The sequence below is a fragment of the Homo sapiens genome, chromosome 6, assembly GCF_000001405.40.
Source record: "Homo sapiens chromosome 6, GRCh38.p14 Primary Assembly".
Classification (NCBI taxonomy): Eukaryota; Metazoa; Chordata; class Mammalia; order Primates; family Hominidae; genus Homo; species Homo sapiens.
Genome location: NC_000006.12, coordinates 138,397,765 through 138,425,455, shown reverse-complemented (window position 1 = coordinate 138,425,455; position 27,691 = coordinate 138,397,765). Strand labels below are relative to the sequence as shown.

At 46.0% G+C, this 27,691-nt stretch overlaps 2 protein-coding genes and 1 pseudogene across 29 annotated transcripts in view, besides 4 other annotated features; 2 read left to right on the top strand and 1 right to left on the bottom strand.

Annotated features, from left to right (window-relative positions):
* The window catches only part of NHSL1 (NHS like 1), a 271,170-nt gene extending 267,757 nt beyond the window's left edge, over nucleotides 1-3,413 (top strand). For all 26 annotated transcript variants that reach the window (XM_047419113.1, XM_047419109.1, XM_047419110.1 and 23 more), the window contains one exon: nucleotides 640-3,413. In XM_047419113.1, coding sequence (XP_047275069.1) covers nucleotides 640-1,375 — 736 coding nt within the window. In that variant the 3' untranslated portion in view covers nucleotides 1,376-3,413. The remainder of the gene's footprint in view (nucleotides 1-639) is intronic.
* Nucleotides 3,259-21,925, bottom strand: HEBP2 (heme binding protein 2). Of its 3 annotated transcripts, none has more exons than NM_001326380.2 (4): nucleotides 21,758-21,925; nucleotides 20,176-20,311; nucleotides 19,305-19,485; nucleotides 3,259-12,576 (listed from the first exon to the last, which is right to left on the bottom strand). In NM_001326380.2, exons 1-4 carry the CDS (start codon nucleotides 21,890-21,892, stop codon nucleotides 12,378-12,380), a joined length of 651 nt encoding a protein of 216 aa, NP_001313309.1. In that variant the 5' UTR covers nucleotides 21,893-21,925; the 3' UTR covers nucleotides 3,259-12,377. The 3 variants fall into 3 exon arrangements, with proteins under 3 accessions (NP_001313309.1, NP_055135.1, NP_001313310.1); NM_014320.3 differs by lacking the exon at nucleotides 21,758-21,925 and adding an exon at nucleotides 20,859-21,233; NM_001326381.2 differs by lacking the exon at nucleotides 21,758-21,925 and adding an exon at nucleotides 20,859-21,233 and having other exon boundaries at nucleotides 19,423-19,485.
* Nucleotides 20,768-21,617: a silencer, noted in NCBI's record as "silent region_17596". NCBI's record gives its function as "represses an Ori minimal core promoter by ATAC-STARR-seq in GM12878 lymphoblastoid cells {active_cell/tissue: GM12878}" and the evidence as "EXISTENCE:reporter gene assay evidence [ECO:0000049][PMID:35858748]".
* Nucleotides 20,977-21,497: an enhancer, noted in NCBI's record as "H3K27ac-H3K4me1 hESC enhancer chr6:138725096-138725616 (GRCh37/hg19 assembly coordinates)". NCBI's record gives its function as "activates a minimal SCP1, AML or CMV promoter by ChIP-STARR-seq in primed H9 embryonic stem cells {active_cell/tissue: H9 hESC(primed)}" and the evidence as "EXISTENCE:reporter gene assay evidence [ECO:0000049][PMID:30033119]".
* Nucleotides 21,748-21,817: a silencer, noted in NCBI's record as "silent region_17595". NCBI's record gives its function as "represses an Ori minimal core promoter by ATAC-STARR-seq in GM12878 lymphoblastoid cells {active_cell/tissue: GM12878}" and the evidence as "EXISTENCE:reporter gene assay evidence [ECO:0000049][PMID:35858748]".
* On the top strand, nucleotides 21,810-23,617 carry MARCKSL1P2 (MARCKS like 1 pseudogene 2; annotated as a pseudogene).
* Nucleotides 22,019-22,539: an enhancer, noted in NCBI's record as "H3K27ac-H3K4me1 hESC enhancer chr6:138724054-138724574 (GRCh37/hg19 assembly coordinates)". NCBI's record gives its function as "activates a minimal SCP1, AML or CMV promoter by ChIP-STARR-seq in naive H9 embryonic stem cells {active_cell/tissue: H9 hESC(naive)}" and the evidence as "EXISTENCE:reporter gene assay evidence [ECO:0000049][PMID:30033119]".

The following is a 27,691-nucleotide window of genomic DNA, read 5'->3' as shown; positions in this document are numbered from 1 at the left end:
GTGAGCTGTTCTCTTTTGTGTGGGTGTTTGAAATTTTCCAAAGTTAAAAATAAATTATTTGCCAGGCACAGTGGCTCACGCCTATAATCCCAGCACTTTGGGAGGCCGAGGCAGGCAGATCACCTGAGGTCAGGAGTTTGAGACCAGCCTGGGCAACATGGCAAAACCCCGTCTCTACTAAAAATACAAAAATTAGCTGGGCTGGGCATGGTGGCAGGTGCCTGTAATCCCAGCTACTTGGGAGGCTGAGGCAGGGAGAATCGCTTGAATCCGGGAGGCAGAGGTTGCAATGAGCTGAGATTGCGCTATTGCACTCCAGCCTGAGCGACAGAGTGAGTCTCAAAAAAATAAAATAAATTATGCATTTATTACTTTTTCTTTTTTTTTGAATAGAGATAAGGTCTTACTGTGTTGCCCAGGCTGGTCTCGAACTCCTAAGCTCAAGTGATCCTCCCACCGTGGCCTCCCAAAATGCTGGGATTACAGGTGTGAGCCACTGTGCCCAGTCAAAAATAAATTTTTTGAAAGTGAATCTTAAGTAGATGGTGACCTGAAGATGCGATAAGAGCAGAGTGGTTGTGGCTGACAGCCTGTGGTCCCGTGGGAATTAACCTTTTTCTTAATGTTATTAAATCTCAGATCCAAAAGGAAAGTCCTCGGCCGTAGAGATTCAGATGATGACCACTCCCGAAACCATTCTCCCTCCCCGCCCGTGACACCCACCGGCGCTGCCCCAAGCCTGGCCTCTCCAAAGCAAGTGGGGTCGATTCAGAGAAGCATCCGAAAGAGCAGCACCAGCAGTGACAACTTCAAAGCTCTGCTGCTGAAAAAGGGCAGTCGTTCAGACACCAGCGCCCGCATGTCTGCAGCAGAGATGCTCAAGAACACAGACCCTAGATTCCAGAGGTCGAGGTCAGAGCCTTCCCCAGATGCCCCCGAGAGCCCGTCAAGCTGCTCCCCAAGCAAGAACAGAAGGGCGCAGGAGGAGTGGGCCAAGAACGAAGGCTTGATGCCTCGGAGTCTGTCCTTTTCCGGCCCCAGGTACGGCCGCAGCCGAACGCCGCCTTCTGCCGCCAGCAGCAGGTACAGCATGCGGAACCGGATCCAGAGCAGCCCCATGACCGTCATCTCGGAGGGAGAAGGGGAAGCCGTGGAGCCTGTGGACAGCATAGCCCGCGGGGCTCTGGGCGCTGCGGAGGGATGTTCCCTGGACGGACTGGCGAGGGAGGAGATGGACGAGGGCGGCCTGCTCTGTGGGGAGGGGCCTGCCGCCTCCCTGCAGCCCCAGGCCCCCGGCCCTGTGGATGGGACAGCCAGTGCAGAGGGCAGAGAGCCCTCCCCACAGTGTGGCGGTTCTCTGAGCGAGGAGAGTTAGGGCCAAGAACGTAACTCTCCCAGGTGACACGGGGGGAGACGAGCAATGCAGCACTCTAGGAAGCCTGCTAGGCGCCCTTCCCTGGCTCACCCGGGGAGCCCACTCTGCTTCTGTGCTGTGGGCCCCGGGGTTGCCAGCCCTGCAGTGTGAGTGAACGGTTATTTAGGACTCACCTGGCACTTGCCCTGTGGCTTAAGAACAAGTAGAAGCTTAAACTTCTGAAAGTGCTTCCCGGGGAAGATTTTTTTTTTTTTTTTTTTTTTTTGCTAAATGCTGGGTGTGTATGTGTGCATTTTCCACACTTTTTAATTTTTAAAAAATACACATATACACAAACAACATGTACAGAAATAGAAGAAAGCAAGCCAGACTTAAGCTTGGTAGAGTAACGGAGTCCTCTGGTCTAGGCGGTAATTGCTTTCAGAGAATTACGTTTATAGAAATCAGCGAGTTTTGTAAGAAAGGAGAAGATGTTACTTCAAGAAAGAGGCAGTAGAGTTGCTGGTTCTTAATGCACAGAACACACAGATATATGCACACGTGTGCTGCTGAGGTGAGGCAGGTCTGGTGAGCACGGAGAGGCTGGGAAGGGGCTAAGTGACTAATTGGTTCAGGTACTTTTTTCTGGGGGAGGTAGACTTTGCTTCTTTTTTGTAAAAATGACAAACGTAGAAGTGGCAATGCTGTAACCTGGTGCCTGCTGCTGTGCAGCCACATACACACAATTGTAGCCTGATTTTTAGAAGTGTGGGTAATTTTTTAATGAATTTCCTCCTTGAGTAGCAGCTGAGGTCATTGACAACTGAAGTGATGGTGTGGACATAGAGAGAGGGGAAGGGTTGGAAAGGAGTAAGTGATACACTGCTGGAATTTGTTTCCTGCCTATGAAATAAAATTATTTTTCAGAATTAAATTTGAAAACTTGCACTACAGAACTATGGGTGGAGCTTTTCCTTTTACAACAGTTTTTTTTTTTTTTTTTTTTTAACCAGAGTTTAAACTTCCATTAGGCAATTTCCTGTCACTTGAAATGTCAACATTTGCTAACTTTTGGATATCCTTTTGGTTACACCAAAGAAAAAGTTATGGCTATTTTTTTTTCCTTGAACTGCCTACAGTATCATGTCCTAATTCAGAAAGATTTATCAAAATCTATTATATATTATCTTACTTTGAAGAAAATGCTGAATAGCTCTTGTTAGTCAAATAAACTGATAAAAATTGGTAGGGCCTGGCTATCAATTAGCCCTGGGAAATGAATTTTTAGATTAAAAAGGTTTTTTTGCATCATTTGGTTTGTGCATTTTTATATTTGTTTATAAATAATTGAGTTGCTAATTACTTCTAATCTTCTCCAATCAGATTTTCAACAATTTTAGACATGGGACACACGTGTGTGAAGTCTTTATTTTAATGTAATAATCTCATTACCCCCACCCTTACTCCCTTAACTTCCATGTACTTAGACTCCTTTATTTGTTAAATAAACTAGAGTATTGTCTTCTTCATTAGAAGGACCTAGGATGACAATGCGGAGAGTCTTGGTCTGAATCTAGTGCGACTACCACCTGCCAGCTTTTGGGGGGTATGGAAATACTATCTAAAAGTTGGACTGCATGGGTCAAATCATTATGAGACTTATAAACTAAAACTTTAGATACCCATATAGAAATGTCTTTGAGGCAAAAACAAACCTAAAGAATGAAGGCTCTTTCCCTTCTCTGAAAAAAACAAAACACTGCTCTTCACACAACCGGAAGTCAAGACCAGAGATTTGGAGCAATTGTCTACTAATTTGGCACAAAGATCGTTTCTTTAGAAAAGTGGCATTGGCTTTTGAATATGAAATCTTCTCATAGCTGCCTAAAAAAGACTAGAATGTATATGGATATCAGAAACCTTTAATAATACATAATTTATGCAAAGATAAGATAAAGCAACATAACACTAATTATAAAACTATTTTTAAATCCCCATTTTTAATGAAAAATATACATTTGTATTTAATTTCCTTTGAATAAAACAATTGTAAAGTAAATATTTGAAATATTTCTTTTTGTTTATACATGCATTTTTTTTGAATAATGAGATAGGTGTTCTTATACAGAATTGTTGAGTGTTTTGCTGGATACAAACAGAAAAGCAGTGAGACCAGAAGGTCTCTGGGGGAGGTGACAACCCAACAGAGGAGGTGGAACATCACAGACACTGGATGGCACCATCTACAAGGGCACGTGGAAAAACAAGTCCACATCGTGTCCTATGGACTTTGGAATAAAATACGAATAACCTATCGCCTGGCGGTTCAGATGACGTGGCATGTGGAGAGACGTGAGAACTTCTTACAGGCATGGATGAAATACAGGGAGAGAAGAATCGAGACTCATCCCTGAAACATGGCACCTTCCATGTGGCTACTCTACTCCTTGGGGCCCGCTTCTGTTATGGACCGCATCTTAAAAAGCTCCACAGGGGTAGATCTGATGGCTCTCATACCCTCATACTTTAAGTTCCAGATAATCACAGAAGCCCCAGCCCTAAATTATTTCCACTTTATTTTTACTATCAGTGGGGAGAGAAACAAATTACTGCTTGGTCTGTCAGTTGGAAACAACCTCAATGCGATCTGCTTTCTGCCATCCTACTATTTCTGAAGAATCTTGATTGAACTCTTGCTTTTCCTGTGGGGGTGACTGTATATTCCTTAGGAGAATCACAGTGAAAAGGAGACGTTTCTGTGTCTCCGTCTTTCTCCCCACCCACCACTGGCACCCTGCTCTGTGGTGGCATCTTAGGAGGAGAGGGGAAAGAGTGGCTTTCTTGGTTCTGCCGTAGTAGGGGTTCAGCCTGCATGCGATGCTGATTCCATCATCAAATGAGCACAGCAGCATAATTTGCTTTGGCAGATGTGAGGATGTTGTTGGGGGAATGGAGGGTCATTTGAATGAAACATGGACCTGATTGTTGCGCCACTTTCCTTAATAAGCCACTCGGTAACTGTAATACAGTTTCTCTCAGTTGCCTGCTCTGACCTACCTTCCACAGCGGCCAGCCTTTATTCACAGAACAAGAGGTAGAGCAATCTGTAGTCATTTGTTCAGCAATGGGGGAAAAAAAGTCCTAATAAATGCTTCTCATGTGCTAGGTAAAGACAAGGAGGCCCAAAGATAGAAAACGTGGTTGAGCTATCAGTGAGGGGCATGATCCTACTGCCAGTTTAGATTCTTCAAGAAGTAGACAGTTAGAATACCAAAGGATTTATTATTGGAGTAAGCACCTTTGAAAGGAAAAGAGGAAGCAGGACGAGGCAGGGAGAGCAGGCGAGCTGCCATCCCAGGGGAACTCTGGGAAAAAGGTCACTCATTGGAGGAGTCCTGTGTTGGACTGAAACAGTTAGGTCCTTGTACCATGGCCTTGCTTGGTCTTTGGCAAGAGGGCCCCCTCAGAAAAGCATGCTCTCAATTTCCATAATTTAGTGAAATCATTGGCCACCAACCCCTCCTGTCTTGAGAATAGCGTGACCTCAGCTTGAAAGCTAAGGTGGATCCTGGTGAAGTAGCAGCTGGTGGCTGCCAGCTACCCACACTCCTTGCAGCTGGATGGCATATCTTGTCTTGAAGGGGGATCTAAGTGGCACCGCTCTATGCCTGCCATGGTCCACCCCTTGCCTATGTGGATCCATTTTCCCAAAAACACGCAGAGAGTGACTGTTTCAGGGCGCCAATGGACCTCTCTTCCTGAGGATAAATGTTGAAAGAGGAGTTTGGTAGGACCAACTATAGCACCTTCCTGCAAATGGTTTTGGAACCACAACTGGTCCTCATTACTCCCTGCTTCATTCTAAATTCCCCTCACCCACAACTGTCATCTTTGCTGGTCTTGGTGGCTTTTTTGATAGTATAAACCAAGCTCTCATTCCTGAGGGTCCTGAGCTCCTGGGAGCCAAACCCTTCTCAGACCAGGGTTGCTGCACTAGTCCATTCAGTTACAACTGGGCAAGGAGTACAGAGGGTGCCTCCAGTGGGTCCGCTAAGTTCCACACACATTGCTCTCGCCACTATCCTCTGACAGCAGGCTTGCCTCCTCCTGCAGTTCAGGGTCAATTACCCTTGACTAGATGGTGACTTCTTGCCTACTGGTCCCTGAACACAGAGTCCAAAGTGCCCACATAGTAGCAGCAGACTGTAGTTCAATGGGATTCTTGCAATATTGCCTAGAGAAGGTATACAGTCTCTGAGAACTAGGACTTCTGATGCTGTAGAACCTGGAGTTGTGGGCATGGGAAGTACTAAGTCCCTCAGTGGTTCGTTGGGTGCGATGGTAAGTGGGGTCACTCCTGCCTCCACTCCTTGGTTCTGAAATCTATATATTCCTGTTGTAGACACAGCATCATACAGGCTTTCTGATTCAATAAGTATACTGTGTGCAGGAGACGGTGGCACATCTTGGCAGGGTATTGTCTCCCACCTGGCACTAAAGCAGGCCATGCCAACATTCCATCAGTCTAGCAGCTTCTAGGTGGCGCAGTATGTGATAGGAGCAGTGGATCCTATGACCGCTGGCGAACTCTCCCTGATTGGGTGTTAACATGTATAGATCACGTATTCAGCAAATCTACGCTGACAGTTCAGATGTTTTGTAAGTCCTTAGATTGTGTTCAGGACCCTGTAGGCCCGAAAGGAACCACATACCTAGAATAGGAAGTCTGTCCTTGTGTGAATAAACTGCTGGTGCTTCTAGGAAAGAATGAGCCTACCATAGTGAATTTGCTATCAAGCGACCAGTTGGTCTTCACAGCCTCATCAGGGTCTCAGCATTGGTATTTGTTGCAGGCAGGTTGGATAGTCACAGTGAGCAGTGTCTAAGTTGGCCTTGGTAAGTGGGAGCCCATGTTGGTGGGTTCCATCCATAGCCTCCATCTTTGCCACCACTGCCACTTTATGTGTGCATTTTACCAGCACTGAGGTGGGCACTGGCAAAAGCTAATAGAACAGGCTAAGTCATTTCATCTACTTGGTTGTTTAGTGCCTCTTCTCTGGTGGGTGCTATCTAGTGGGCATTAACATGTGATACAGTTTTTCAACTTCTGTGTTCACTCCATATGCCCATCCACATGCCTCTACCCCAGACCTCCTAATCCATGTTTTTTTCCTCCCAAACTCCTGATCAGCTGGCAGGCCATTTTCTGCCACTTCCATAAATATTTTACCTGTCCTCCCTCACAAGGTGAATGATCCAGTGTACCTCAAAAAATTCTGCCCAGTTTTTGCAGGAAGATTGCAATTTTTTTCCCGTTTTTCAATGTCACCTTTGAGTGAAGGTCCATTTTCAGCTTGCAACTACAGAAGATAACTAATCAATAAACCAAGCCCAAGCATTCCTCTTCCTTCAGTGGATCATACAGGTCCTCCAACAACCACAGGGAGGGGGGATGTAGGTGCCACTGTGCAGACATGGCGGTTGGAGTAATTGCTCTTGCAGTTTGCTTATGTCCTCTGGTCTGGCTTGGAACTGCTCCTGTACATATCATTTCCATCTTCCAATGGGCTGCTGCCGATCCTACTAGCTTATGACTTAGTGCTTCCCACAGGACCTAGTTAAGATGAGCAGTTCTGGATACAGCATCACTGGGTCTCAAAGTTCCGTGTCTACCAGGGCCCAGTAGCACAGCAGAGGCTGTTTTTCAAAAAGCATATGATCCTCTCCTGTGGTTAGAACCACCTTCCTTCAGGGCCCCAGGGACCTGCACTGTGATTCTCTCATTGGGCCTTGTCATCTATTCCACACTGCATCTTCTTTCCCCCTACCTCCAATACATAAGATCTGCCACATCACATAATTCAAGCTGCTAATTTCTTCATATCTGTCACTTCTGGTTCTACTTCTAATGATTACCCTTTTTTCCTAATTATGGGCCATAATTTATATTTCTCTGTTTCCAGTAATTTTTTACTGAATGTTGGTAATTATGAGTGTTATGTTGTTTGTTGATGGATTTTGTTATATTCCTATAAATGGTATTGGGTTTTATTCTGATTCACAGTTAAGTTTCTTGAAATTAGTTTGATCCTTCCAAGGCTTGTCTTTAAGCTTTGTTAGGGGAAGTCCAAAGAAGCCTTTGGTCTAGGGACAATTTGACCTCAGTACTAAGGCAACACCTGTTGGAGGACTCCACCTGATGACCCATGCATTATGAGTTATTTCTACTCTGGCTAGTGGAAACACAAACTTTTCCCAGCCCCATAGATGATCTGTAAATTATTTGCTCTACTAATTTCCAGTTACTCATTTCTTGGCTTAAGTAGTTTCTTCTAACACCTTCACTCAACCAAGGACTCCAGGGGACCCACTGCAGATCTACAGCACTCTCTGTCTGTGTGCTGCTGCCTCCTCTCCTCTCACTTACTCACCTTGGCCTCCGGTGACACTGATCTCCATCTCCTCAACACAGCAGGACCACTGGTCTCTGGCTTCCCTCTCCCTGCTTTGCTGCCTAGAAACTGCCTCCAGGCCATTCGCCTGAGCAATCACTGGACTCACCTCATTATTCCCCCTTCTCGCAGAGATCACAGTCCTGTACTATGAACTTTCAGTGTCTGAAAACCATTGTTTCATATATTTTGTCTGGGCTTTTAGTTGTTTAAGAGGGACAGGTAAATTGGGTTCCCAATTCATCATCATGGCCAGAAGCAGATGTTCACCCGAGGTGCTTAAAAAATACTGTTCAAGGCAATATTTATTATGGTTTACTGCCCTGATTGGAGGAGAGGGAGTTTAGAAGCTTATACTCTTTCCCCACAGGTCAAGGAACAAATGTAGGGGTTATTCTGCCTGCCAAGGATGTCAGTCTCAATTATACATTCAGGGATTAGGCAGATAACCTGCAGGCCCAGGAGATCTGCTGTAAGCCAAACTTTGATTAGAACTACGTTTACTTTCTAACCTCTGTATGCTCCCATTTTAATGGGAGGAGGAGGAACTGTAATGACTCTTTGGGTTTCTGGGTATCAGACGTTAACTTGGACCCTGACGTATCCAGGTATTCCTCTTTCCCCAGGGTAGAGCCACCTGAGTAAATGGCCATAGATCCTTTAGAAAAAGAATGAGGGGATCATTACTGTGTACACCTGCTGAAATGTTGCAGGAAACTTTCCCCTAGGATACAGTCACCTCTGCAATTAATGAGCTCTAGGTCAGAAAACTGAACTAGAAACTGGCAAGGAATCATGTTTTTGTTTTTTAATTGGAGTGATCTCTCTCAGTCCCCTGCTCATCAATTCTTGCTCACTTTTGATTATATATAAAGCCTTACCCTTGTTGATTAGTCAGCTCTTTTGTCCCTAGGAATGCCTTGTTCTACCAACTATTTCCATGAGACTTTACAGGTCAGGACCCCTCGGCTGCCATTTGGAGCTTAGTGGTTAACAGGATACTGATGGCACCCTGGCTTCTGTGGCTGGCACTGCCACCTGGGCTCTTCAAGGTCTCATCATCATCCACATTGCTCTCAGCAAGTGAAGTTCCATCACAGCCCTTCCTGCCAGCCCCAGCCTGCCGAGGAGAGCCACCGCTGAGCTCCTTTATGATGCCCAAGCCCGCTTATCAGTGCATTCCCAGCAGCCTTGCTGAAGGATGGGTCCCCTGGGCCTTCCCGTGGAACATAATTGTCTGATGGGTCACCTTGCCTCATATATCCATGCTGGCATGCTCCCTTCCCTGAGCCTTCTCATTCCTTTCTCTATTGTTTGTCCCAGCCATTCAGGCATTTCAACATTTTGATCACTCTTTCTAGGCTTCTACCAAGCTGCCCTAGAGCAGTGAGTCTGTATTATCTCCTGGCATTTTTCTCATGGTGTGAAATCCTCTATCCTGAGAGCCCCAAGTCAATATACCCTCTCCTTTATCTAGTTGTATAAACCCAGCCCCTTTGACCAAGCACCCTCAGGATCCAGTCCCAAGAGTACGCCCCTGGCCCCTGCAGTACATGCTGCCAGGTTAGGTGGCTCCTCTGGCATAGATCCCATTTCTCCCTCATCAGACCCCTCAGCCGCAATCAGTTATGTTGTGACTTAAGTCTCGTTATAGGCCTGGTAGCCAGGAGAAGGGGAGGGACCAGTCCTGAGGGACACCTTTTGCTTCATGGGGAAAGACCTTGGACACTGTCTTCCCTTGTGTTAGGGAAGAGGCAGGAAGGGAGGGTAGTTCCAGCTCTTCATGGGGAAGGGTGGGCCTCTTCTGAAGGATGTGAATATTCAGGGAGTTTTCTAGGGAGGCAGATGGTTGGGGAGATCCACTAAATGCTCCCATCCCATGTTTTGGGATCCCAAGTTTGATTCCAACCTTGATCTAACAGACCTGGCTTGGTTGAGTATTTGTTGGCTGTTAGCTACTTTTACCATCAAATCCTGTGCTTGGCCTTCAGCTTGCTCTGCTTGGCTACAGCATGAGATGAGGATTGTTGGCAAGCTACCACAGAGACTCTGCGGCTCACACTTAGTTTTGTTTGTTAATTGACCTCAGCTTTTCATTATCCACTTGCAGGACGTCAATCCAACTCAGCAATAACCATGGAAGCCCACTGTCCTTGTCTCTTTTATCCACCCTTCCCATATTTGAGACACCCAAATCACCCACCAGTCATTGCGTTCCCCTGCACCAGCATGCCATTTCATCTGAAGTCTTCATCACTGGACAGCCTTCTTGTGCCAGGGACTGTCTGTGCCACCTATCCACCAGGGATGGGGGCCTCCGAGCCAGCCAGACAGTGAGTCACTCAGCCTGCAAATGCTGTCTTACCACCTACGTTCGTGGGCCACTGGTACCAATTGTGCCAATTTTAGGCTGAGATGGAGTTAGGAGTACAAAACTGGTGAAGTGACATCTCTGAAAGGAAAAGGGAAAAGCAGGATTGAGCAGAGGAACGGTAGGATCTAACAAAGTCTCTAGCAGCCCACCAAAAAGCTCCAGAGCAGAGACTGCTTATTAGAGGGCTTTCGAGTTGGTAGAAATGACTAGGACTTTTTTTTTTCTTTCTGAGACAGGATCTTGCTCTGTCACCCAGGCTGGAGTGCAGTGGCATGATCAGGACTCACTGCAACCTCCGCCTCCCGAGCTCAAGCAATCCTTTCACCTCAGGAGCTAGGAATACAGGCGTGTGCCACCACGCTTGGCTAATTTTTTATTTTTTGGACAGACAGTCTCACTAGGTTGCCATGACTCGTCTTGAACTTCTGGGCTCAAGCAATCCTCCCACCTTAGCCTCCCAAAGTGCTGGAATTACAGCTGTGAGCCACTGCACCTGGCCTAAATGGCTAGGTCTTATACCACCACCTTGCTCAGTTATTGGCTGGGAATTGCCAGAAAAAAGCATGCTGTCAGCTACCACTGCCTTGCTCAGTTGTAGACTAGGTCCCTCTCTCCCACAGAATAGTGTGTCCTTATCTTGAAATCTGGCGTGGACCCTGAAGACGGTAACGGGGAGACTGTCGGCGAACCACACCCCTCACAGCTGGGCGGCTGGTACTTTCTTGAAGGTGAATTTGAGTGGCACACCTCACGTTGTCTGCCACCACTTCAAATCCTGAATAAAACTGACCATCCTTTGGCCACAGTAGCAATTAAGTACCAGAAACAATCAATGACAATTTCCCATCAGTAACCTCACCTCCAAACTAGGCTTCTAAATCATGCTAATCAGCAGCGGCCTCACTCTGGTAACTGCATCCCCACAACTAAAGCTCCCTCGACTCCTAAATGCTTTTGAAAGTCTGTTAATCCTTCCTAAAACCCTGCATAAGGTCCGCAGTTTTCTTTATCCGAGAGACCGTGCCCTACAAGAGCAGTGCTCTCTTGCTCAGCAAGCAGTGTGTGCAGCTTTTTGTTCTGGGTACTGAACGTGGCCTCTCCCTTTAACACTGTCACCTCTGCCCAAGATGCTCCCCTCACCTCTGCCCCTGGCTTTCATCTGACTCATCCTCGTCATTCAAGTCTCAACTGTCTCTTGAGAGGCCTTTGCTGACCACCTTATGTGATGTCCACCACACCCTACCTAACCACACTCTACCCCACTGCCCTATTCTGTTCTTCATCACACTTGCCAATTTCAAGCATCTTATTTGTGTTGAACTCCCTCACCCTCTAGAATGTAAACTCCATGAGGCCAGGGGCCTTGTCTGTGGTGTTCACAGTGGGAGGGTGAATGAAATAGTTAAGGAGGTGGAAAGATGTTGTTGGAGTTAGTGAAGAGGAAGTCAGTGATGAGGGGCTTGGGACACAGGTTTTCTTACCACCACCTCCCAGTCCTTAGCAGAGTGCTTGGAACATAGCAGGGACTCCCTACAATGAGTTAAAGAATGAATGAAAATACGTGACAGTTCAGGGAAATGTTTAGGGGAAAAAGCAAGATTTTTAGGGGGTTAAGTGGAGACCAGAAAGAAAGGAATGAATTCATTACATTTAAATGGAGTTACATGGAGTATTCTTGTGCAGTGGGGCAGTGGGAGGATGCAGGAGGGAAAGTAATACATACAACAGAGAATGTAATGGTGGCAGCCACAAAAGACAATTTGATTTTTGTGTCCAGCTGAATTTCACCTCTCCGGGCCTGACAGCCTAGGGGTTCCACACAAGATAAATAATTTTAACATTTTATTGATACTATCTGGAGGGGATATCATCCAACTGACACAAATCCAAGAAAAAAAAAAGGGAATATGATTGTGATGCAGTGAAGGAGGGAAGTGACATGAAATTTCCCTAGATCCTCACAGAAATAAAGACCACGATAGTTATGACCGATTTATATGTTTACAGACTACTGTCCTCTGTTACCTGTGTATGTAGATAAAACTTCAAGCATTAAAAAGGCACATTGGAAATAAGCTTAATTAATAGTAGTACTCTCAATAGAAGACACTAGACACGCACTTTACTTATAGGTCATGTTGATGTCTATGATAAACAGATGTTTTGCCTCTGACAGCAGAACTTCCTTTCATTTTTCTCATTCGTTTTCTTTGGTGGGTTCATTTTTTTGAATCAACCACACTTCATTATTTCTATTAAGCAATTTGACAGGACTGTTGTAGCCTGCAGTGTAGTAAACCTTCTCATCGAAAACTTTTCCATCTTCCCTTAAAATGCTTGCTAATGTCAAAAGTTGTTCTTGATTCTTTTGGGCACTAGAAAATCCATCGAAAGACCTACAAAGGAGAAAGGAAATAACCGTGAATGATTTTAATACTGATGTGAATGTCAGTCTGAAGCAAAAAGCGGGCGCTAGTACCGTGAATGCTGAGTGAAGTGCAGCTCCAAAGTTACTCCCTCTCGGCCAGGCGAGGTGGCTCACACCTGTAATCCCAGGACTTTGGGAGGCCAAGGTGGGCGGATCACTTGAGGTCAGGAGTTCAAGACCAGCCTGGCCAACATGGTAAAACCCCATCTCTAATAAAAATACAAAACTTAGCCAGATGTGGTGGCGGATGCCTGTAGTCCCAGTTACTTGGGAGGCTGAAGCAGGAGAATCGCTTGAACCTGGGAGGTGGAGGTTGCAGTGAGCCAAGATCACGCCACTGCACTCCAGCCTGGGCGACAGAGTGCAAGACTCTTTCTCAAAAAATAAAAATAAAAAAAGCTACTCCCTCTCAGCAGATGAACTGACCACTCCTGCCTGTGATTCCCAGTCTCCATGTGACCTCAGAAGCACTGAGGAAACCCAGGAGGATGCATCCCCTCCTTCCATCTGTTGACAGGTGGATTTGGAACCTACACAATCTCAAGTGCTCTACCCTGTGCTTCTCAAACCTTTAACGTGCATACAGGTCACCTGGGGATTTTGCTACGATGCAGATTCAGGTCTGGGGTGGGGCCTGAGAGTGTATTTCCTCCGAGCTCCCACATCCATGCCGGTGCTGCTGATCAGAGAACTACACCAACACCCCTGTAGAAGCCCCTTTTCCAGACTCGATTTTCACTTGCACATTGCCCCTTTTTCCCTCTCCTAAGGAAAAGAATAAACACTGGATTACAGATGAATATGATACAGTTTTCACCTCTCTGAATTTATGATCCAATGGAAGAGATCAACGTTCTGGCAGCTCTCTCTATACATCCTGAGGTTTTTTTGTTTGTTTGTTTTTTTGAGACAGAGTCTCACTCTGTCTGTTGCCCAGGCTGGAATATGGTGGCAGAGCATCCTTGACCTCCTGGGCTCAAGCAGTCCTCCCACCTCAGCCTCCCAAGTTGCTGGAACCACAGGTGCACATCGGACTAATTTTTTAAAAAACCTGTAGAGACAGGGTCTTACTGTGTTACCTAGGCTGGTCTCAAACTCCTGAGCTCGAGTGATCCACCTGCCTTGGCCTCCCAAAGCAATGGGATTATAGGCATAAGCCACCACGCCCGGCCTCTGAGAAGGGTTTTAAACAGGGACAGGATCAAAGTGTTGTGGGAGCGTTGAGGACCTGATTAAATCTGGGGTAAGGAGAATCATCTGAGTTGGGCCTGAATGGAGGATGGTTTTGCTGAACAAAGAAAGGGGAGTGATAGGAAAGAGACCATAAATCTAAAAATACCAAGTGTTTTCATAGTGAGGCATAAAATGAGGTCAGGAAGGTGAGTCAGAACTAGAAGGAAGAACCCTGTGCATTAGCCTAAGGCCTTTTGAGGTTATTTCCAAGGATGTTGAGCTGAAATGTGCAACTTGATAAGATCTGGATTAGAATATAGGCAGACATATAATAGACTGGTGAGGAAGGATCCAGTCAGGAGGCTGCTGTGGGGAAGTGGAAGAAAAGACAGTCAAAAGATTAAAACAAAAAGTGGGAAAAGAGAATAAAAGTTTAAGTATACATTCTACAGTATATAAACAAAAACATCCTGAGATTAAATCATGACAGCACTGACCTAGCTGAGCTGCTGACATGCAAGCATGATGAATTTGATTTTGAGGGTTAAGAATAAGAAACACTGAGAAACAAAACTTTTCCTAATATGCCTTCTTTGGTATAAGTTCTGTTATCAATGTGCCAGTGCAAAAAATCAATCCTACCACGCTTCAGCTGAGGTGTCATCTCTTTTAAGGGTACAAACCATGTCTGCTTTATATAACAATGTCTACCCAGCACCCAGAACCATTCCTGGCATGCAGTTCCCTTTTAATCCTGTCAAGTGTAGGAATCTCTGCATGCACATGTATGCAAAATAAAACACTGCAGGTGAGTTGATATAACTCTTCCATTCTATCATTTTCATGTCGATTGAATATAATTCTGAACCATGGGTTAAGAAACATTTTGGGCCAGGCATGGTGGCTCACGCCTGTAGTCTCAACACTTTGAGAAGCCAAGGCGGGTGGATCACCTGAGGTCAGGAGTTCCAGACCAGCCTGGCCAAGATGGTGAAACCCCGTCTCTACTAAAAATATAAAAATTAGCCAGGCATAGTGAGGAGGGGTGACTGTAATCCCAGCTACTCGGGAGGTTGAGGCAGATGAATCACTTTGAACCTGGGAGGCGGACATTGCAGTGAGCTGAGATTGCGCCATTGTATTCCAGCTTGCGCAACAAGAGTGAAACTCCATCTCAGAAAAAAAAAAAAAAAAAGAAAGAAACATTTTGGCTCTTAAATGTATTATTTATTTCCTTGATGAATAACCAATGCTTAGCATGTTCTGCCTAAAAGGAATTTGTTTTCAAATTCATTTTCCCTTAAAATCAAATACTGAACCCTCTAATTAGAAATAAGCTTTTGTTCTCTGACTGTGTGTTGTTTCACAATGATCTATTCACTGTTTTATTCAGAACACAGACAACATATATGGTGCTTGCCTCCCTCACCCCCACGTGCCTGCCTTGCCAGGGGCTGGAATATATGGACATAGTAACATGCTGTCATATTCTTGAAGAAATTTCCGTCTATAAATAAGCCACTATTACTTAGAAGAAGAAGAATAGAAGGGCCCCAGGACAGAGTACCTAGCTAGGTGGAGAAATTGAAGAAGGCATCACAGAAAAGGTGTCATTTGTCCTGTAGGGTGGCAATGGGCTCTCCAGGAAGAGGAAAAAGAGAGTACTAGAGCTAGGAATGCTTGATGCTCATGTTCCAAGTGTTTTACATAAATTAACTCATCCGATCTTCATGGCAACCCTATGAGATAGTAAGTATTATGATCACACGCATTTTAAAACAGGGAAATTTTAGCAAGGAAAAGTGGACTAACGTGCCTGAGGTCAAAGGTAACAAGATGTGGAAGAACATGGCATGTTACATGAAGGGTGAGAAGCCCAAGTGGTGGGAAGGGGAGCTGCTGAGACAGGGCTGGGCCAGGTCATATGTGGCACTGTGCACCGTGTGAACAATCTGAGCTTCCCTGGGGAGGCAAGAGGAATCCAACGGAGATTTTGGGCTTTTGTCATTGTGGTAAGAAAGATGACAGTTCCAGTGTGGAAGAGGAAAGGAAAAGACTGGTGGCAGGGAAGACGGCTTGCAGGCTACTGAAGTGAAATAGTCAAGAAATAATTCAGTTAAGATCAATCAACATCCCAGTATCTATTGGGAATGTCAGGCTTGTGCCAAGAACTGGGGTACACAAAGATGACTTAGTGCGGTCCCTAGAAGAGGAAGACCCGAGTAAGTCACAATGGTGATAGAGAGGAGGGAACAAAACCCTGAATCATTTTTGAGGTGAATGGGCCAGATTTGACAATCAATTGTCAGGAACATTGTGCTGATGGTGACTGTAAATTCCTTGCTCAGGAAGCTGTCTTGACTGTGCATGGTGGCTCATGCTTGTAAACCCAATGCTTTGGGAGGCTGAGATAAGTAGACTGCTTGAGCCCAGGAGTTCAAGACGAGCCTGGGCAACATAGTGAGATCCTGTCCCTACAAAAAATAATAAATTAGCTGGGCATGGTGGTGGCACATGCTACTCAGGAGGCTGAAGTGGGAGGATCCCTTGAGCCCAGATGTTCCAGGCTGCAGTGAGCTATGATCATGCCACTGTACTCCAGCCTGGACAACAGAGCGAGACCCTGTCTCAGAAAAAAAGAAAAAAAAAAAGAGGAGCCTATCTGGCTGATGAGGCCCTCAACTGAGACAGGCACTATAAGATCAGAGATGTGGGAATTGGGCAAAGGCTCATTTTTAGGGTTGTTGAGTTTGATTCCCCCAACCCCAAAGAGAGATGTCCAACAAGTAGGGAAATCAGATCTGGAGACACTTAATAGATGGGAGAATCATTCGACTGAGGGAGTTGAAGCAATATGAATGGATTGCCCAGAACAAGTCGGCTATGAAATGAGGGTCTAAAACAGGCATCGACAGTGATCCTAGGGTAGGGAGCTGAGGAGCCAACGGAGGTAAAGAAATGGGACAGGAGAAATGACAAGAGAGTGACACTCTGAAAGTTAAAGGATAAGCAAGTATTAAGGGAACAGATTCGTCCACACATGACTGCTGTAAGGGTCATGTGGGAGAGGACAGTAACCACGTGGCAGATACAGAGGCACTGCTGAGGATGGCAACGGCAGTCTAAGGAGAGAGTGGGAGTCATACCAGATCATGGTGATTTGCGGTAAAGGCCATTCTCATAAGGTCTCGGATGGAAATGAGGAACATTTGTTGGAACTTGGAGGAAAGGTGACCCTTGTCATGACATGGCAAAGAAACTGTGTTTGTGTCCCAGTGTAATGTGGACAGTACAACTTGTGAGTTATGAAATAGGATATTTGGCTGAACATTTTCTAAGCAAAATGTGAATGGAAGATGTGGCTTCGCTTCTCTTGATAGTAAAATACAAGAAGAGAGAATTTAAAGAGTAAATTTTTAATCAAAAGGGAAGCAGAACTTAAACATCTGGAAAATTCTTAGCCTATCTACATTAAAAGAAATGAGAAAGCTTGTTCAAGAGAGAACAAGGGTAAGGCCAAGCAACCCTTTGATAAGGAGATGAATGTGGAACTGCCATCTAAACAGAAACCAGGACCTATTCTCCAGCATAATGGAAGAACGATGCCAAAGGCATTTTAGAAATTATGAGCTGCCTCTCCCATCACATGCCAAGTTTCAGTGCCTGGGGAGGGCAGAACAATTTCAAAGGAGGGTCTTTGGGCACCTGGGGGGCCTTGGAACTCACTGCCTAGCACTGCCTCACCAATCTGTTTCCTGCATTCCAGTGCAGCCCTCCTTGGATGCCCCAGGTTCAGCTCCAGTGGGCTGAGGTGTGGCCTGGGCTGTGATGTCTGTCCCTCCGGAAGGCACAGGCAGTTAACCTCAGCAGCATCCATGTGGTGCCGACCTCTGTCAGTACATGAGCTGTGGGGGTGTGGCTACCTCCACCTTGAAGGATGGAGCTGCCCAGGGCCTTGGGTATGTGACCCAAGCAGAGGGCCACAGTGAGACCAAGCTACTGCAGTGAGTCCCCAATAGGGAAATGGCTAACAGAGCCATGGGAGCCGGGCACACCAGACTGGGAGGGCCACCGGTGTGCAATTCGAGCCTGGTAGAGCTGCAGGGTGGGGTCCCTCCAACTGTGAGAGCTGCAGTGGGGTTGGGCCATCCAAAGCCATGGCCAGGGCCACTTGAAGCCTTGGGGGCCCAACCTCTGTTCAGCAGAGCTTCACAAGTGGGACCTTCATCCCAGTGGGCCCAGAGGGAAGAGCTTTGAGTCAAAGAAAATTAATCTGAAGATTTAGAACTTACTTGGAACCTGTTACCCATTTCTTTTTTCCCATTTCTTCCTTTGGAATGCAGTATTTATCCTATGTCTGTCCCACCATTGTATTTTGGAAGCATATAATATGTTTGATTTCACAGGTTCATAGATGGAGGGGAATCGGCCGCAGGATGAACTGTACCTTGAGCCTCAGATTTGATTTTGATGATCTTTAGATGAATTTAGGCTTTTGCTGGAATGAATTAAGACTTTTGAGGCTATTGGGATAGAATGAATGTATTCTGCATGTGAGATGATATGAATTTTACAGGATCAGGGCAGAATGCTATGAACTCTATGTTTGTGTCTCCCCAAAATTCATATATACATTTTTCTTTTTGTTGAGACAGGGTCTCAGTCACCCAGGCTGGAGTGCATTGGTGCAATTACGGCTCACTGCAGCCTCGACCTCCTGGGCCCAAGTGATCCTCCTACCTCAGCCTCCCAAGTAGCTGGGACCACAGGCATGTGCCACCAGGCCTGGCTAATATATATATATACATTTGGTAGAGATGGGGCCTTGCCATGTTGCCCAGGCTGGTCTCTAACTCCCAGGCTCAAGTGATCCACCTGCCTCAGCCTCCCAAAGTGCTGGGCCTCAAAATTCATATTTTGAAAACCTAATCACTAATGTGATAGTATTAGGAGATGAGGCCTTTGGAAAGTGATTAGGTCATGAGGGTAGAGCCTTGTAAAACATGTCCAATAAAGCTGCCTTGCCTCTTCCACCACATGAGGGCATTTCTGAGAAGGTTCCATCTATGAACCAGGAAACGGGCCCTCACCAGTCACTGAAACTGCCAGCACCTTAAACTTGAACTTCCTTGTCTCCAGAAATGTGAGAGAGAAATTTCTGTTTTTCATAAACTACCCAGCCTACGGTATTTTGTTACAACAGCCTGAACAAACTAAGACTTCTGTTTTAAGGTATTTTTGTTCAGGTCTAACTATATTGCAGTCTTTTGTTTTGGGAGCATATAATTTGCACCGTGTCTTATATGAAGGGCATGCAATAGACTCATTAAATGAAGTGATTATTATCTTGTGACAGACCTCAGTAACATATACAACAAAGCCAGTAGGAAAACATCACAAAATGCATTAGACCTGATTTTATGGAAGGGTGAAAAAGCCTTTTGAAATTGCATTGGAGCTAAACTGTGAGTGCACGCAAGTAAAACTAGCAGTCAGCAAGGCTATAAATTATCTACCACTTACCGTACAAACACAGTCATTTCGGCTCTATCTTCAATGAAGACATCTGACTCTAAAGGCCTGGGTGGATCAAATTGCTGTTCAGAGGGAATATACAGGGAAATGGTAATGGTAGACTCACTAAAAGGACCTGAACCAGGCTCCACGTAGCTTGTCACTGGAGCTGTCATCTTTATTTTCATCTCTGTGACATAAAAATGAAAGCAAATTTAGTGTATTTTTGACAGCTTTAAACATTTAACCTATTCTTTTTTGATCTGGGTTCCTTGATTTACTTCACATTGTTGACATATTTACCTTTAAGATAATTTTCATCTTAAAACAGTAAGGCCAAAATTACTCAATTGCTCACTGCCCACATTAAACCACTTTCTGTAATACTGATATTCTGGGTTAATAAATTCTTAATTTTTAGAGATAAAAGGGGAAATTAGAGATTACATGGTCAGTAAATTATTTTTTCTTACCATTCAGAAAATGAGGTCCCACAGGCTAAGAGACCTGCTAAAATATAAATAGCAGCAAAGCCAGACCAAAAGCTATGACTTGATGCTTCTAATCTTGGTACCTTCTTGCCTCCTGACGTCTCTGATCCTACCAGTCACCAAATTATCTTGAGGTGTTAGCCATAGAAAAGGACTTATCACGAGTTACACCAAACCCCAGTTCATCCAGCAAAATCAGAGAACAGAGGTTGAAAAGTAATACCCAGTGTAACCCTGGTCCTGAGGAGTCTTGTCTGAAAACAAGACAAGTCTTTGATGACTTGCTTATTTTTCCATTATAAAGGATATTTCTTTAATAAGCTAAAACTCAATAATAAGCCCGGGGACTCTTTCACAATATGCATAATTACAAGGAAAACTGCTTTTACCTTTCTCGTTTTTGCCTTGAATGTAGCTGTTCAGTTTCGTAAAGCCCGTCTGGATGGCTGAATCCCAGTCCATAGACTCCACGGACGTGCTGACCCACTTGGCTGGTCCATAGTGTCGGATCTCATAACTTCCGGGCTAAAGTGGAACAGAGAAAACTTCGAGAAGCAATTCTAAGAGGGTAGGAGTGAGATGCAAAAATACCGGTGCCATGATCTCGGGTCGACCTGGAGCCGTCCTGTCTAGGGGCTGCACCGCCCCGGGGTCCGGCCTGAGGTCCCCGCTCCTTAGGTCTGGGAGGTTCCCCTCCACGAGGTTCCCCTCCTTGCGATTAGGGACCGCAGCGGCCCCAACCCCACACGCTGGGGACTCGATTCACACTTTCAGACAAGCATCTATTACACCCCCTCGGTTCGGAGGGTTCCACCGCGCGTTCTGGGACGTAACCAGTTCCTCCCCGCCCCACCACCCCGCAAAGACAAGAAATTGAGATGGGACCTGCACTGGGGGTAGCGGGGAGGGTAGAGCTAAATGACCGGGGTTTCTCGTTTGCGTAGCATAGTGGGTAGGGACTGGGACCATTTAAAAAACTGTACTTTTTACTTAACTCTATGGGACCCGCTGGCCTCACTGCAAATCAGCCGGAAGGCGGGCCCAGCCCCTCCGCTCCCGAGTCGGCGCCTACCTGGGGGCCGGCGTCCTCCGGGGCCTTCCAGCCCGGCGTCTCCACAGCTTGGGCCGCCGCGTCCTCGGCCGCCCCGGGGTCTGGCTGGAGCGGCTCGGCCATGGGCGGCGCTGACGCTCTGGGAGCCTGGTCAGCCGCGCAGAGGCCCCGCACCCCGGGCCGCCCCGCCTGCGTGTGCGCGCCCCGCCGAGGCCCCGAGTCCCCGCTCCGCAGACCCGGTCCCTCCTCCCGGCCGGGCTGGAGACCCGAGCCCACCCGATGCGTCTGCCTCTGGACCGCGAGGGGGCGCCGCCACCAAGGCGGGGCCGGCTCACGACCCCGGACAGCTCCGGCCGGAGTTGCGCGTCCTGCCCCCGCCCCTCCGCGGCGACAGGGAGCCGCACCTCGCTTCGGCCCGCCTTCTTTTGAGGCACTTCCGCCCCCGCCCCGCCTTTGTTTTTGAAGGAAAGGCACACACAGGTGGCCCCGCGGGCAGTAGGGGGTGGCGCTGTTTCTGTGCAACCGGTTTGGGAACCTCTGCCGCGGCCCCGCCCGCGCTGGGAACCGCGGGCGCTGAGCCGCCTCGAGGGTGTCCCAGCGCACCGCAGGCAGAGAAAGGCAGGAGGTGGCGGCTGGCGACCCGACCCCCGCGGCCCCTGCCCGCACTCCTGGGGCTCAGCCAGGGCGAATGGCCGTACTCATCCCAAGAAGTTGTCCTAGGTCCCAGACAGCTTTCAGGGTCCCTTGCGGAGGAGGTGGTGGGACCACAGACACATGGAGAGAATCTGGAACTGTTCTGGTTTCTGAACTTTTCCCCGACAGGACCCCAGACCCTCTGAGTCATCCCCGCAGGCTTAACGAGACTCGGGGAGAGTTAGTGCCGAGGCCAGACACTAGTGCTTTTCAAGAATTTTGGTTACCAGGGCTTTCCCGAGCCGAGTGGGGTGCGGCTCTGTTCCCCAGCACCCCCTTTCCGCCGGCCAGGCCGACTCCGCGTTACTGTCCCCTGCGGCGGGGACCCGGCACGGCTCCGGCGCCCCCCAGAGGACTCCCATCGTGGGCAGCCAGAGCTCCGAGGCTCTCCGGGGCGACGTGACCGCCGCAGAGGCAGCAGGCACTCCCCACGCGAAAGCCAACGGACAGGAGGGTGGCCACGTGAAAAGCAATGGTGACATCCCCCAAGGGTGAAGGGGAGTAGGCCCCTGTGAACAGAAGAGGCAGCCGGGACCATTGGCAATGCCATGGAGCCAGCACCCCCTAGCCAGGGTGCTGAGGCCAAAGGGGAGGCTCCCTCCCTCGCAAGGAGACTTCCAAGAAGACGAAATTGCCTTTCAAGGCCAGGCACGGTGGCTCACGCCTGTAATCCCTTCATTTTGGGAGGCCAAGACAGGGGTGATCGCTTGAGCCCAGGAGTTCGAGACCAGACTGGGCAACATGGCGAAAACCCGTCTCTACAAAAATACAATAAAATAGCGTTGATAGTAGAGTGGAGAGCATAGCTGCCTTCCAAAAAAAAAAAAAAAAAAAAAAAAGCTGAGTGTGCTGGGGTTGTGATCTCAGCTACTCGGGAGGCTGAGGTGGGAGGATCGGCTTGAGCCTGGGGAGGTCGAAGCTGCAGTGAGCCGAGATTGCGCCACTGCACTCTAGCTTGGGTAACAGAGTGATACCCTGTCTAAAATAAATAAATAAATAAATAAATAAATAAATAAATAAATAAATAAATAATTATCTTTCAAGAAGGGTTTCTAAGAGCAGCTTGTCCTTCAAGAGAAATGGGAAGGAGGGTGGGGTGACTCTTCTGCCTCCTCACCTATGGAGGAAGAACAGGAGTGGGGGAAGATCAATGCCTGCAGCGACAAGGGCGCTGCCCAGGAAGGGAAGGCTGTTGCCACCCCTGAGAGCCAGGAGCCCCAGGCCAAGGGCGCAGAGGCAGTACTGCCTCAGAAGAAGAGGCAGGGCCCCAAGCTACAGAGCTGTCCACTCCCTCGGGGCGGAGAGTGGCCCTACACCAGCCCACGCTGAGCAGAATGAGTAGCTGGGTGGGCCAGGTGGGTGATCTCTAAGCTGCAAAAACTGCTGTTCTTGTGAGGTTACTGCCTGGACCTGGTGCCCTGGCTGCCCTCCTGTGCCCAGAAAGGAAGGGGCTATTGCATCCTACCAGCTACATTCCCTTTCCTTCTCTCCCTCCTGTGGATTCTCCAATCGGCCATGTGGCTTTCCTCGTAAGGCCAGTTGAAGACGGTCCCCCACAGCCTCCCAAGTTAGATTAGTGATATGAAATGTGCCTTTCCCTGGCCCTGCCTCCTTCCCTGTCCCCAGCCCTGCAGAAGGCAATTTTTGGTTTTCTTCCCCAATTCTTTTCCAAGTAGGTTTTGTTTACCCTACTCCCCAAATCCCTGAGCCAGAAGTTGGGTGCTTAAACTCCCAAACCTCGAGGGTCCGGCCTCCCCGCTGTTGAGTTTTTACTCTGGTGCTGTGCCTAGTGGCACCTGGGCCGGGCAGGGGGGCACTGCCCTGCCTAGGGTTCTATTCAAGTTCCAACCTTCAGCTTGTGAATCAACTGTGTCTCTTTTTTGACTCGGTAAGCACATGTTAGGCTTTGGGGCCAGGGAGAGGTCTGTAATGTGAAATAACTTCTTCTTGCCTTTTCTTCTCTCATTTTTATGAATAACTTTTAATGGCCAAACCCCAGATTTGTATTCTTTTTTTTTCTAACTGCTACAACCATTCTCTTCCACCTGGTTTTATTATAACAATTGGAAAAGGAATAAATATCCCTTAAATTTTTTTTTGTTAGATGTATTCTTTATTTTTTCCAAGAGATTTATTAAGATATAATTCATATACCATATAGTTCACCCATTTAAAGTGTACTAGTCAATGGTTTTTAGGATCTTTAGATCTGGGCAACCATCATCACAAGGACTGGGCAACCATCATCACAAGGTGAGAACATTTTCATCACTTCCCACCCTTAAAGAAACTCTATAACCTTTAGCCACCACCTCCCAATTCCCCATTCCCTATGCCTAGACAACTACTAATTTGTTCTCTGTCTCTATAGTTTTGTCTATTTGGAACATTTCATATGAATGGACTCATAATAGTACGTGGTCCTTTGTGACTGGTTTCTTTAACTTGGCAAAGTGTTTTCGAGGTTCATCTGTGTTGTGGCAGGTACTCCATTTCTTTTTATAGCTGATTAATAGTCCATTGGATAAACATTTTATCAACTTATCAGATGAGGGACATTTGGGCCATTTTCAACTTTTGGCTATTATAAATAAAGCTGCTCTACATGTTTATGTACATGTTTCTGTGTGCATGTATGTTTTCATGTCTCTTGGGTAAACATCTAGGAGTAGAAGTTCTGGGTCAAATGGTAACTCTATGTTTAACTTTCTGAGAAACTGCCAGACTGTTTTTTCGCCACTTCACATTCTCACTAACAAGGTGTGAGCATTCTATTTCTCCACATCCCCATCAACACGTGTTTTTATCTGGCTTTTGGATTATAATCATCCTAGTGGGTGTATGCTATGGTTTGAATGTTCATCTCTTCAGAAACTCATGTTGAAACTGAATCCCCAATAGGGCAGTATTGAAAGATGGGGCCTTAAGAGGTGATTGAGTGATGAGGGCTCTGAAATTAATCCATTCATGGGTTAATGGGTTAATGGATTATTGGGTTAGCACGAGAATGGGACTTGTGGTTTTATAAGAGGAAGAAGAGAGACCTGTGCTAGCACACTGAGCCCCGTCACCATGTAATGCTCTGTGCTGTCACGGAACTCTGAAGAGAGTCCCCACCAGCAGGAAGGCCCTCACCAGATGTGGCCCCTTGACCTTGAACTTCCCAACCTCCATAACCATAGGAAATAAATTCTTTTTATTTATAAATTACCCAGATTCAGATTTTCTGTTATCAGCAATAGAAAATAGACTAAAACAGTGCACCTGGTGCTTTAAAATATTTTTTGAGATATGATTCACATAGCATCAGTCACTATTTTAAAGTGTACAATTCAGTGGTTTTTAGTATATTCACTGTGTTGTACAAACATCATGACTACTATCTAATTCTAATTATAGAACATTCCGTCAGTCCAAACAGAAACTCCATGTAGCTTAGCAGTCACTCTTCATCTCCCTTGCCCCAACCCCTTGCAGCCACTAACCTACTTTCTGTCTCTATGGATTTGCCTCTTCTGGATATTTCGTACAAATGGAATCATGTATTATAATATGTGATATTTAGGCCAGGTGTTGTCACTCACGCCTGTAATTCCAGCACTTTGGGAGGCCGAGGAGGGCGGATCACCCGAGGTTGGGAGTTCGAGACCAGCCTGACCAACATGGAGAAACCCCATCTCTACTAAAAATACAAAATTAGCCAGGTGTGGTGGCGGACGCCTGTAGTCCCAGTTACTTGGGAGGCTGAAGCAGGAGAATCGCTTGAACCCGGGAGGCAGAGATTGCAGTGAGCCAAGATCCCGCCATTGCACTCCAGCCTGGGCAACAGGAGTGAAACTCTGTCTCAAAACAAACAAACAAACCAACAAAAGTAATATGCGATATTTTGTGACTGGCTGCTTGCTCTTAGTGTAATGTTTTCATCTATGTTGTAGCATGTACCAGTACTTAATTTTTTTTTAATTGCCAGAAATACCCCATTGTATGGGCCTAGTGCTTCTAAAGCAATTGATGTCTTCTCTTTTCCTTGCCCTTTCCTGCCCCAACAACTGTGCAGTGGCCTGAGGACTCATGGCACTTTCTAGTGGTTCTGTCAGATCTATTATTATGCAGAACTAAGTTCGATTTACTTAGTAAAGGCTAAATAATGAATTTTTAACTTATTTTAAAAAATAGCTTGTTTCGTTTAACTAGGTAACAGATGTGATCCATTGCTTAGGTGACTTTGCAAAGTTGAAAATATAACTTTATCACAGGTTTTTTTTAAAAAAAGAAAAAGGATGTAATTTACTTCATTGCTTAAGAAATCTGTTATTTTAATCTATAGAGTATCTTTTACATTTATCAATGTCTTTTTTGGAGGGCAATATTTTATTTGCAGAAAATCTAAGGCTAAATTTGGAGACGTTTATTTTTCAGGGTTTGGAGTATGCAATTAGTGAAGGTAACAGAGGTGACTACACTGCATTATCTGTATTTACAAGGCAGTAACTAGTCATATAAAAGAACAGAGGAAGGAAAGAAAGGGATTTATTTCAAAATAATAGGATTTCAGTTTAGAACAAGTTTAATAAAGTTTAGTAAAGTTTAATAAACTTTAAATTATTTAAATTATTTAAAGTTAATAAACTTCATTCAAGTTTTATATTGTTATTTCAAAATAATCGAGTTAGTTTGTTTTCTTGTTGATTAATTATAGTAATTTTTTATTTGCTTATATTTCATCAATGTTTATATGACACTATGAAGCAGATATTTTATTTAAGCTGTACAGCAAATTTTGAGATAAGTTCTATTTTCCACATTTTGAAATCTGTGAAGCTGATGGGGGAGGAGCAGAGTACTCAAATGTTTCTTCCTTTTGTCTTTCAAAAGTACTATTTATTTTCAGTTAACAAGCAATATTTTATTTTTGTATTTATTCATTTATTTATTTATTTAGAGACAAGGTCTTACTCCGTCACCCAAGCTGGAGTGCAGTGGTGCAATCACGGCTCATGCAGCCTCGGCCTCCCAAGGATCCAGCAATCCTCCTACTTCAGCCTCCTGAGTAACTGGGATTACAGGCGCATGCTACCACACCTGGCTAATTTTTTTGTTGGTTTTGTAGAGACAGGGTTTTGCCATGTTGCCCAGGCTGGTCTTGAACTCCTGGGCTCAAGCAATCCACCCACCTTGGCCTCAGAACATGCTAGGATTATAGGCATGAGCCACCATGCCTGGCCTTACAAGCGGTATTTTAGGAACAGATATTTAGTGGTGTGTTTGGTGAGGAAAGACTAAGTTGTGCTGTGGAAACAACCGCACATAGCACTGGCCATAAGCAACAGCTGATTCCTTGTTCATGCAGAGTCCTCTCTGGGTCTGAATGAGGATTTTGGACAGCCCCTTTCCATGAGACGGTACAGCCTGGCACCTTTATGTCAACAGATACCTCCACAATCACCCTGGCAAGGGAAGAGAGCACTGAGAGACCCACACCAGTAATACAGCTGGTTCTCATTATTTGTGGTAGTTACATTCCTTAAAGTAACCATCAACACCGATTTAGCAAATACTGAACCACTGCTCCTAGGGGAAATATAGAGTTAGGTTCCCGTAAGCCTCTGGTCACAGTATTTTCAGTAACCAGTCAATACATAACCTTGTTTTATGTGTGTTTCTGCATAAAGATATCTTATTTAACAGGTGTTGTTGATTCATTAACATTGAACTCGTGACCAGCAGCATTATAACTCATGCCTGAATGTCACATATATCTTCTCTGTAAGGCACATCACGGCCTTCTTGCACTGAGGAGCACTAGACAGCACTTCAGCCCTAAGCCTGGGGGCTGTTTTAAACAGCAAACAAAAAGCACAAAAATGCAAAAATGGTGGCACTCCATAGATTGTAAAATGGACATTGTCTACCGCATGAGAGCTAAAACAAACAGAGCTTGCCTTTTCCAACTTCAGCTGGGAATGTGTGCACTGGGCAACCTGCATTTTCCAAAGCTGTGTGCATGCATATGTCTGTGAGTGACCAGAAAATGCTGTGAGTATTGACTGTGGAGTTACAAAGACATTTTAGCAAGCAGGCAAATTTGCAAATATGGAATTTGTGAATAATGAGGATCAACTGTAAATGCTTCCTGCAGTAAGTTACATAAGTTGTTTCCA